Source organism: Homo sapiens, chromosome 17, assembly GCF_000001405.40.
Source record: "Homo sapiens chromosome 17, GRCh38.p14 Primary Assembly".
In the NCBI taxonomy this organism is placed as follows: Eukaryota; Metazoa; Chordata; class Mammalia; order Primates; family Hominidae; genus Homo; species Homo sapiens.
Window position 1 is genome coordinate 721,583 of NC_000017.11, and position 10,981 is coordinate 732,563.

General features: G+C 49.5%; 1 long non-coding RNA gene across 1 annotated transcript, besides 2 other annotated features; it reads right to left on the reverse strand.

Moving 5' to 3' along the window:
* Positions 1-489: 489 nt before the first annotated feature.
* LOC124903893 (uncharacterized) lies at positions 490-10,798 on the reverse strand. The gene is made up of 2 exons (XR_007065572.1): positions 10,597-10,798; positions 490-778 (listed from the first exon to the last, which is right to left on the reverse strand). It is a non-coding gene; the product is annotated as an uncharacterized LOC124903893 (long non-coding RNA).
* Positions 8,227-8,521: an enhancer, noted in NCBI's record as "tiled region #11717; HepG2 Activating DNase matched - State 23:Low". NCBI's record gives its function as "activates a minimal TATA promoter and a strong SV40 promoter by Sharpr-MPRA in HepG2 cells {active_cell/tissue: HepG2}" and the evidence as "EXISTENCE:reporter gene assay evidence [ECO:0000049][PMID:27701403]".
* Positions 10,491-10,970: a silencer, noted in NCBI's record as "silent region_7941". NCBI's record gives its function as "represses an Ori minimal core promoter by ATAC-STARR-seq in GM12878 lymphoblastoid cells {active_cell/tissue: GM12878}" and the evidence as "EXISTENCE:reporter gene assay evidence [ECO:0000049][PMID:35858748]".

The following is a 10,981-nucleotide window of genomic DNA, read 5'->3' on the forward strand; positions in this document are numbered from 1 at the left end:
GCAATCACCTTTAGATCCTATCGTCACTCTGGGTGGCACAAGGTCCCAGGCCAACTTGTAGTGGAGGAATAGGGTATAATTTCCCCTTGAAATCAGCTCAAAATGTTCTCTTGGTGCTTCTTTATGGACTGTTTCTAGTACGTGGCTTTTCACGATGACTGGTTCTTTCACTGTCCTTGATTCCTGAATTTCCTGAATCTCCTGGAGCCTGGCATTTGTTCTTGATTGACATTCGGATGGTTCTGAACCCTCCCTGTATCCTGGACACCAGTTTTGTTTAGGTTGGTACTCTGGTTCTCTGCATGCCCATTCTTGCTAAGCCGGTCATGATTTCCAGCTAGTTTCAGCAGCTCCCCTGTTCCCACGGCCATTTTCACATGATATCTCCCAAAGGCTTTTAAAATGAAAACCTTTTACACTGGCTACGTTGGGTTCATATTAAAGCAATCCTTTCCCTTACTCAAGGAAGTAATAATTATATAGGCCAAATTAATAAACCCTCTTGTGCAAGTTTTATATATGCCAACAACTATAAAAACACTTTTTACAAAACTGACATTAACTAGTACAATCATTATAATGTAGCTAACATTAATTCATCGTATCTAAAACCCTTAAGCATCTTCCATAACCTGTTTTTTCGACTCCACTTCTTCCTGCATTCCCAGAGCTGGATCTTCAGCTGCCACGCTTCTTCCTCGTGTACAACAGTAGTTCTTAATCTGTTTTGAGTCTGGACCCCTTGGAGGAGCTGAAGAACTCTACACAGATCCTTTCCCTGGAAAAATACACATTTGCTTAGCATTTTGCATGCAGTTTTAATGAAGGGTGTTTCATAGAATATACATACATATATATATATTTTATATATATATAATATATAATATATATATATATATATATTTTTTTTTTTTTGAGACAGGATCTTGCTCTGTCGCCCAGGCTGGAGTGCAGTGGCGGGATCTCGGCTCACTGCAAGTTCTGCCTCCCAGGTTCACGCCATTCTCCGGCCTCAGCCTCCCGAGTAGCTGGGATTACAGGCACCTGCCACCACGCCCGGCTAATTTTTTGTATTTTTAGTAGAGATGGGGTTTCACCGTGTCAGCCAGGATGGTCTCAATCTCCTGACCTTGTGATCTCCCGCCTCGGCCTCCCAAAGTGCTGGGATTACAGGCGTGAGCCACCGCGCCCTGCCGTTTCATGGATTATTTATTTATTTATTTATTTAGAGACGGAGTCTCGCTCTTTCGCCCAGGCTGGAGTGCAGTGGCGCGATCTCGGCTCACTGCAAGCCATGGAATATTTTTTAACCTTTTTTTTTTTTTAGCCCACGCTTCTTTCTGCTAAACCTAAAAATGTTGTGAACAAACCTCCCACATGCAGTATTTTGACAAGAGGTATGATCTTCATCACTGTAATTTGACAATCACTGATATGTAAATTACATTCTCCCTTCACCAGCCCAGAATATTTTGCTCAGCTAACCTTATTTTAGCTTTCCTTCAGGAAATCAGTAGAAAGTTTATATTTCCTGGGGCCAGGCGCAGTGGCTCATGCCTGTCATCCCAGCACTTTGGAAGGCTGAGGCGGGTGGATCACGAGGTCAGGAGTTCGAGACCATCCTGGCCAACATGGTGAAACCCCGAAAAAAAGAAAAAAAAATACAAAAATTAGTTGGGTGTGGTGGTGCATGCACCTGTAATCCCAGCTACTTGGGAGGCTGAAGCAGGAGAATCGCTTGAACCCGGGAGGCGGAGGTTGCAGTGAGCCGAGATCGTGCCACTGCACTCCAGCCTGGGCAACAGAGCAAGACTCCATCTCAAAAAAAAAAGAAGAAAGTTTATATTTCCTAAATATAATGTTGTTCAAGGCCAGGTGTGATGGCTTATTGGGAGGCCAAGGCGGCGAGAGGATCACTTGAACCCAGGAGTTCAAGACTAGCCTGGGAAACAGAGGGAAACCTCCTCTCTACCAAAAAAATAAAATAAAATAAACAGGTGTGGTGGACCGCATCTGTAGTCCTAGCTGCTTGGGAGGATCCCTTAAGCCCAGGAATTCTAGGCTGCAGCCACCCATGACCATGTCAGTGCACTCCAGCCTGGGTGACAAAGCAAGATCTTGTCTCTAAAATATATTTAAACTCCTGATTGGACACGGTGGCTCACGCCTGTAATCCCAGCACTTTGGGAGGCTGAGGCAGGTGGATCACCTGAGGTCAGGAGTTCGAGACCAGCCTGACCAACACGGTGAAACCCCATCTCTACTAAAAATACAAAAAATTAGCTGGGCGTGGTGGCTCACGCCTGTAATCCCAGCACCTTGGGAGGCCGAGGTGGGTGGATCACCTGAGGTCAGGAGTTTGAGACCAGCCTGACCAACCTGGTGAAACCCCGTCTCTACTAAAACTACAAAAAATTAGCTGGGTGTGGTGGCACATGTCTGTAATCCCAGCTACTCAGGAGGCTTGTCTATATGTTGGTCTGTTTCTCCTTTTTTTTTTTTTTTTTTTTTTTTTAAATACAGGGTCTCACTTAGCCCTCCAGGCTGGAGTGCAGTGGTACAATCATAGCTCACTTCAACCTTGACCTCCTGGGCTCCTAAGTAGCTGGGACTACAGGTGCACACCACCACGCCCGGCTATATTTCTTCTTTTAATGGCTACAGAGTATTCCATAGTTGGAACATACTGTAAATTACTTATTCTATTCCTTTTTTTATTTTTTGGGACAGAGTCTCACTCTGTCACCCAGGCTGGCGTGCAGTGGCGCTATCTCGGCTAACTGCAACCTCTGCCTCCCAGGTTCAAGCGATTCTCCTGTCTCAGCCTCCTGAGTAGCTGGGATTACAGGTGCGTGCCATCACACCTGGCTAATTTTTGTGTTTTTAGTAGAGTTGGGGTTTCGCCATGTTGGCCAGGCTGGTCTCGAACTCCTGACGTCAAGTGATCCACCCACCTCGGCCTCCCAAAGTGCTGGGATTACAGGTGTGAGCCACCACACCCAGCCCTATTTATTCTATTCCTAAATATTTGGGTTGTTTCTAATTTTTTGCTATTATAAACAATATTATATATATATATATATATATATATATATTTTTTTTTTTTTTTTTTTTTTTGAGACGGAGTCTCGTTCTGTTGCCCAGGCTGGAGTGCAGTGGCACACTCTCAGCTCACTGCAACCTCCACCTCTGGGTTCAAGCGATTCTCCTGCCTCAGCCTCCTGAGTAGCTGGGATTACAGGCGCACGGCACCACACCCAGCTAATTTTTGTATCCCAAAGTGCTAGGATTACAGGCGTAAGCCACTGCGCCTGGCCTAATCCTATATTACTTTAATTCTACCAGCACTGTAAAAAAGTGCTTACGTCCTTATATACTTAGGCACAGTGGATATTTTCCGTCTTTTCCATATTCACTGATAAAGTTGTGTGTGTGTGTGTTATTTTGAGAGACAGGGTCTCGCTCTGTCACCCAGGCTGGAGTGCAATGGCAGGATCATGGCTCACTGAAGCCTCCAACTCCTGGGCTCAAGGGATCCTCCCACCTCTGCTTCCCATGTAGCCAGGACTGCAGGCACATGCTACCGCACCTGGATAATTTTTAAATGTTTTTGTAGAGGGTCTTGTTACGCTGCCCAGGCTGGTCTCGAATTCCTGGTCTCAAGTGATCCTCGTGCCTCATCTCCGAAAGCACTGGGATTACAGGCATCGCGCTCGGCCTACTTATAAAGTTTTCAATGGGCCTTTTTATATTTCTTCTGTGTATTTCTAGTTTGTATCATTTGAAAAATTCTTTTGGATCATTTTTTTTTCTTTTTTCTTTTTTCTTTTTTTTTTTTTTGAGGCGGAGTCTCTCTCTGTCCGCCAGGCTGGAGTGCAGCGGCGCGATCTCGGCTCACTGCAAGCTCTGCCTCCCGGGTTCACACCATTCTCCTGCCTCAGCCTCCCGAGTAGCTGAGACGACAGGCGCCCGCCACCTCACCCAGCTAATTTTTTTGTATTTTTAGTAGAGACAGGGTTTCACCGTGTTAGCCAGGATGGTCTCGATCTCCTGACCTCGTGATCCACCCGCCTCGGCCTCCCAAAGTGCTGGCTAATCATTTCTGCGGTTTTCCTTGTCCTTGTTTTCCTCACAAGTGTGACATGCTTGCCACAGACAAAATGTAGTAGGTCTGAAGCCCAGCGTGGTGGCTCATGCCTGTAATCTCAGCATTTGAGGAGGCAAGGTGGGAGGCTCGCTTGAGGCCAGGAGTTTGAGACCAGCCCGGGCAACAGAGTGAGGAACACACCCCCACCTTTGTTCTTCTGACACAGTGTCTCCGTCTGCCACTCAGGCTGGAGTGCCTGGTACAGTCACAGCTCACTACAGGCTCAACCTGAGGTGATCTCGCACCTCAGCCTCCTAAGTGCCTGGGGCTACGGGCACGCAACATCACAACAAGTTTTTTTTTGTTTTTTTTTTTTTTTGTAGAGACGGGATTTCACCACGTTGCCCAGGCTGGTCTGGAACTCCTGGCCTCAAGCGATCCGCCCACCTTGGCCTCCCGAGGTGCTGGATTTACAGGAGTGAGCCACTGTGCCCAGCCAGCCCTTAAATATTTTTGAAACCTGAGTTTAGAAATGTTTGCTTTTAGATAGGTGTGACTATCTGCAAACAAGCCAGATTTTGCATTTTTAGCAAAAGAAACATGTATGTGAAAGTGCTTTGAAAAATACACAGCAATACATAAAAGCAGCACTCCATCATCGGTTCCTTGTGTAAATTACGGTTTTTACCGGCAGGAATCAGAGCGGAGTCTCCCGTGTAGCATGCAGCTGCGGTCGCTGTTTGTAGAAACCATGGGTTTGGGGTGTGGCTGTGCTTCCCGGCCTCACAGTTTGCTCTTGCAAAGAATCTTAAGATAAAACCAAGGAAGCTGCCGTCTGGAGTCGGGCTAAGGCCACCTAGGGAATCTGTAATCCAGCAGGTGCTTGTTGAGAAGTTTAACAGCAGGGGGCTATGCCTTGAGGATCCGGTATAAAGAACAAGAATCCCCTGCCTGTGCCGAGCACACAGTTTAACGTTTTGAAAATAGGATGTCATTTAATTCTCCCAGCCATCCTGGAGGGTAGAGGCAGGAACCGCCATTTTACTGGGGAAGGAGGCAAAGTGTTTTCTCCAGGTCACACAGCTTCCAGGTGGTGGAGCGTGGACTGGAACTCAGGTTCTCGGATCCCAACTCCAATGCGCTATGCAGTGGCTGCCTCCCAGGCAGACGGCCCCTACCGTCAGGGGCATGTGGTCTGCCAGAGAAACGCACACACACATATCAGCTCAGGGCTACACTGATCAGGCAAACAAAGTGAAGGAGAAATGAAGAGCAGGGTGATTGACTTCTTTCTGGCCACACTCAAAGTCCTAAGAGCAAGTCAGCTCATTCTCTGAACCGTATTTCTTCAGACGCAGTGTGGCTTTTGTTGCCAAAGAGAATGAAGTTCCGCAGAAGGCTGTTGTTCTCCTCTTTGGACACCTCCTTCCTTTCTTTCCGTGTCTGACCTTTTCCTCGTGTTCTGTTGTTGTGCCAATCTTTAGATCTTCATCTCTATGTCTATCTTCCTGTATCAAAGTGTATACTGGCGTTGTGTGTGTGTGTGTGTGTGTGTGTGTGTGTGTGTGTGTGTGTGTGTGTTGAGACAGGATCTCACTCTGTTACCCAGGCTGGAGTACAGTGCTGTGATGATGGCCCACTGCAGCCTCAACCTCCCGGGCTCAAGCAATCTTCCCACTTCAGCCTCCCGAGTAGCTGGGACTACAGCCACACGCCACCACACCCGGCTAATTAGTGTATTTTTTTGTTTTACCATGTCGCCCAGGCTGGTCTCTAACTCTCGGGCTCGAGTAATCCTCCGGCCTCAGCCTCCTAAAGTGCTGGGATAATAGGCAGGAGCCAACTCCGGGGCTCAAGTGATCCTCCCGCCTCGGCCTCCTAAAGTGCCGGGATAATAGGCAGGAGCCACCTCCTGGGCTCAAGTGATCCTCCCGCCTCGGCCTCCTAAAGTGCCGGGATAATAGGCAGGAGCCACCTCCTGGGCTCAAGTGATCCTCCCGCCTCGGCCTCCTAAAGTGCCGGGATAATAGGCAGGAGCCAACTCCGGGGCTCAAGTGATCCTCCCGCCTCGGCCTCCTAAAGTGCCGGGATAATAGGCAGGAGCCACCTCCTGGGCTCAAGTGATCCTCCCGCCTCGGCCTCCTAAAGTGCCGGGATAATAGGCAGGAGCCAACTCCGGGGCTCAAGTGATCCTCCCGCCTCGGCCTCCTAAAGTGCCGGGATAATAGGCAGGAGCCACCTCCTGGGCTCAAGTGATCCTCCCGCCTCGGCCTCCTAAAGTGCCGGGATAATAGGCAGGAGCCAACTCCGGGGCTCAAGTGATCCTCCCGCCTCGGCCTCCTAAAGTGCTGGGATAATAGGCAGGAGCCACCGTGCCCACGTGCCCACCCCCTGTGCCGTATCTTTCTATGTCTCTTCCTATTTCTTCATTCTCCTTTTGTCCTTCCTGCCCTCTCTCTGCTTCAATGGTCCCTACTGTGGAAATGAAGTATGGGTCTACACAAAGTAACTTTTACTTCAGAACAGATGTCCATTTTCTCTGTTAGGGTATTTATTTATTTATTTGAGACAGGTTCTTGCTCTGTCGCCCAGACTGCAGTACAGTGGCACAATCTGGGATCATTGCAACCTCTGTCTCCCAGGCTCAAGCAGTCCTCCCATCTCGGCCTCCTGCGTAACTGGGACTACAGTTACTGGGGTGGGTTCCACCCATCTGGCTTTTTTTTTTTTTTTTTTTGAGAGACAGGGTTTTGCCATGTTGTCCAGGCTGGTCTCCAACTCCTGGGCTCAAGTGATCCACCCACCTTGGACGGATCCCAAAGTGCTGGGATTACCGTTGTGAGCTGCTGTGCCCAGGCTGTGTTAGGATTTTTAAAGTGGATGAGCGGACAGAGACCCCTAAGTTCCCTTTTGGTTCGGGAGCTCACTACGTGGAGGCGCTTCACGTGTGATCTCACTTCTTTCTCATGTACATGATTTTCCCAGATAGGAGGAAAAGGTCCTCGATCAAGGGTAGTTGCCCACACATCACATATCTTAATGGCATTCACTTGAGAACTCACAAAGTATTTTACAAGTAAATACGGTATTTTCCATTTAAGGCTGAAGAAACCAGGAAACAGATATGGGGAGAGTCCCTGTGTCCTATTCCTTAATGATAGCGAGTGGGGTCCAGAGGAATGGGGGAGAGGAGATGGAAAGGCAGGCCCACATGCTTTCATGGCAGAAAAATCCCTCCGTAGCCCTTTAGAATGGGGAGCTTTATAAATTCTCTGTTCAAGGGGGCGACAGTCTACATTTGGTAAGTGAGTTTTACGTTGGCATTAAGTAGCCCAAATTTCACTCTGGAAACCCACACAAGCAGTGTAATGACAAACTGGTGAAACCCAGCCCCACAGCCTGGAGTAGTGGAAATTACCCTGGAACAGGTTCTAACCTGAGCCTTGTCCCTTCACAGGGTGGTGAGTCAGCGGCCCATCCTGCACTTCGCTTTCTTCATGTGTAACATGGAAATAACAGGTTTAGCCAACCTCACTGGGTTATTTTGAGACCCAGGTGAGCTACTACACGTGAAAGTGCTTTGAAAATTTGTAAAGTTACATATAAACAGAGAATACTGTTCATGGCAGCATCAGAGCCCATCAATTCACCATACAAATTTATGAGTAAATAATTAGGAACAGTATTCATCAGAAACTATATTGTGAAAGATTATTATTCCCTCCTTGCTTATCAGGCTTGAAGGCAGTATAGTCATCCGGCACATGGAACTAAAGGCAGAAAGTACTGAGTTTGAATCCCAGCTCGCCACCAGCAGTGTGACCTGGGGCGATTTTTAAATTGCTCTGGTCTGAGTCTCATTTTGCTGATACACACAAACACACACACACACACACACACACAGAGTGAGAATAACATCTGTTGTGAGGATTTAATGAGACAATGTAGACAAAACATCTGACATAGGACCTAGCAAACAGTAAGTACTCAACAGGTATGAGCTTTGGAAAGTATGAAACATGTATTGCACCCTCAGAATGTGCCAGCCTCACTTGGGGTACAAAATGAAAAGACACAGTCCTTGTTTCTAGGACCTAACAGTCTGGTGGAGAAACATACAAATGAGAAAACAACAGCCTCGTTACCCAAACCCAAAGGCAGACCTGGAAACCTTCTTAGAGAAGGAAACAGCTGATTCGAGACTTTTGAAGGATGAGGGGAAGTTTGTGTAAACCAGGCCCCGTGTTTTTCATTTGGCCTTACCATTTGCCGACAGGGGTTTGATCGCTTGAAAAGCTAAGGTTCATGTTTCTGCTTGTTAGCTTTATGGTGATTCAACATAAACAGTCTGGTGACTTCACTGAGCATGGTGTTGAAACTGATCTTACTTGCTATTTTCTTTTTTCTTTTTTTTTTTTTTATTTGAGACAGAGTCTTGCTCTGTTGCCCAGGATGGAGTGCAGTGGCACGATCTTGGCTCACTGCAACCTTCGCCTCCCGGGTTCATGCCATTCTCCTGCCTCAGCCTCCCGAGTAGCTGGGACTACAGGCGCCCGCCACCACGCCCGGCTAACTTTTTGTATTTTTAGTAGAGGCCGGGTTTCACCATGTTAGCCAGGATGGTTTCGATCTCCTGACCTCGTGATCCGCCCGCCTCGGCCTCCCAAAGTGCTGGGATGACAGGCATGAGCCACTGCGCCCGGCCTTTACTTGCTATTTTCTATACATGAAACATCGGTTGTTTTGTTTTCAACTCATAAAGATGCCTTACAGCTTCTTGTGTAGGGGAGACTGGTTCCCACCACTCAAAGGTGCCAGCATACTCACTGCCAAGCTGCTGCTCCCTTTAAGGAGGGAAGGCAGGGAGGACTTGTAACCACCTGTCACTCTCTGGAAACACTGGCGCTGGAGGTCACTGTGATAAATGCTTAGGAAAGAGACAGTGGACTGCACAGAGTCGTTTTCCTGGAGAGAATGGAGAGTTCACAGGTAGCTGGTTTTGTCCACAAGCGAATGTGAAAATAAAGAGAGCGTCGCATTTGTCAGATATCTTGGGACCAACCTGAAGTGGCTTTCTCCTTTCACTGAGTATGTCAGCAGTGAATTTGGGAGTTAGAGATGTTGCCCTAAGTGGACGAAGTTTGAGGCTTTTCTTGAGGCTGTCTGCCACCGTCCTGTTGGCTAAGTCCCTTTTCTTAACCACATATAGGAAGATGTTAGAGGCTACATTCATTCCAAAAGGTCACAGCCTAGTAACTGATACTACCACTGAAGGAAAACTATCTTTTAAACCTGAGAAACATCTTCAGACTCCATCATGAATGAATCCAAATTGAAAAAAACAAAAGCTGTGCTCACTCTACACCAGTTCCTACATCACTAACTGCCGTGTTAAAGTAATTTAACTGGCACCTAACAGAAATCATCTGCCACTTTGTAAAAGTCATAGACTCATAAGAATCTAGAGCTGGAAGACCGTTAAAGAGCTAGTGATCCAGCCTCCCTCTCATTTCACGGACCAGCAAATCGTGGCCCAGAGAGCCGAGCCCAGCTGTTCCGAAGTCCTCATACGGGATTTTGGTCAGCATTTTGCATGACGGTGATCTGAGGAGACCCGTCATACCTTTCATTTGTAGTAACATAAATGAACTGTATTTCCCACCCCCTACGTTTGTTAGCTGAGGAAGATACAGACCAAAGCAAAATAAAGCTGGTAGTTCCTAAAGGACAGAAGCCAATGATACTGAAATTCCTGTCTTCATCCATGTGATTGGTGCTTGGCACAAATGAAATGTATTCCAATTCATTCAAGTTTAGACGCCTGTCCCGATAACTGTTTTTTTGTTTGTTTGTTTGTTTGTTTTTTGAGACAGAGTCCTGCTCTGTGGCCCAGGCTGGAGTGCAGTGGCGTGATCTCGGCTCACTGCAACCTCTGCCTCCCAGGTTCAAGCGATTCTCCTGCCTCAGCCTCCAGAGTAGCTGGGACTACAGACAGGCACCACCACACCTGGCTAATTTTGTATTTTTAGTAGAGACGGGGTTTCACCGTGGTGGTCAGGCTGGTCTCGAACTCCTGACGTCAAGTGATCTGCCCGCCTCGGCCTCCCCAAGTGCTGGGGTTACAGGCGCGCCCGACCCCGATACTTTTAAATAACGACACGTTGTGAACAACACCACAGTCCCTACGCCTCTGGATGGTGTCTCCGGATAGATCCAAAGCCGAGAGGCAGTAAGAGCCTGCAGCCTCCACAGTCCGCCTCCTGGTGCAGGTGGAGAGGGGCTGCTGGAGGCCCCCGGACCTCACGCTTCCTGAGGGCCACCCCGGAGCGGCTGCAGCCGCTGGCGGCACCGGGAAAAGCATCTCGGCCGTGCGGGGAGAGGCCACATCCTGAGGCCTCCCACCGAGAAGCACCAGGGCTTGGTGGACGGGGCCCGCGAACCCAGGGCCACACGCCGCCTCCCTCCTTCCTTCCCCGCGGGCCTCGCCCCACCCCGGAGGGGGTTCCTACCTGGCTTCCTCGGCCCCGCGCCCACCCCGCCCCTTCGCCCGGGGCCGGCGAGAAGAGCAGGTCGGGGAGGGGCGCGTCCGCTGACGGAACAGAAGCCGGGAGCCGCGGCCCTTCCCGCCTCCGCCTGGGCCCCGCGGCCGCTCGGGAGGGAGCGGCGGACTCGGAACGCGCGCGCGCCGCGGCCCCGGCCACAGCCGCCGCCTCGGTCCCCGCCTCCGCCCCCGCCCACCCGCCCGCCGGGGACGCCGGGGAACCCTCCGGGCCCAGGGACCGCGAGAGACCCCGCCCCGCCCTATCGCAGCCGCCGGGCCTGGTCACGCGCAGAGCCGCGCCGCGGGATCGGGGCCAGCGCCGGGCGGAGGCGGGACGGGGACGGGGGCGGAGG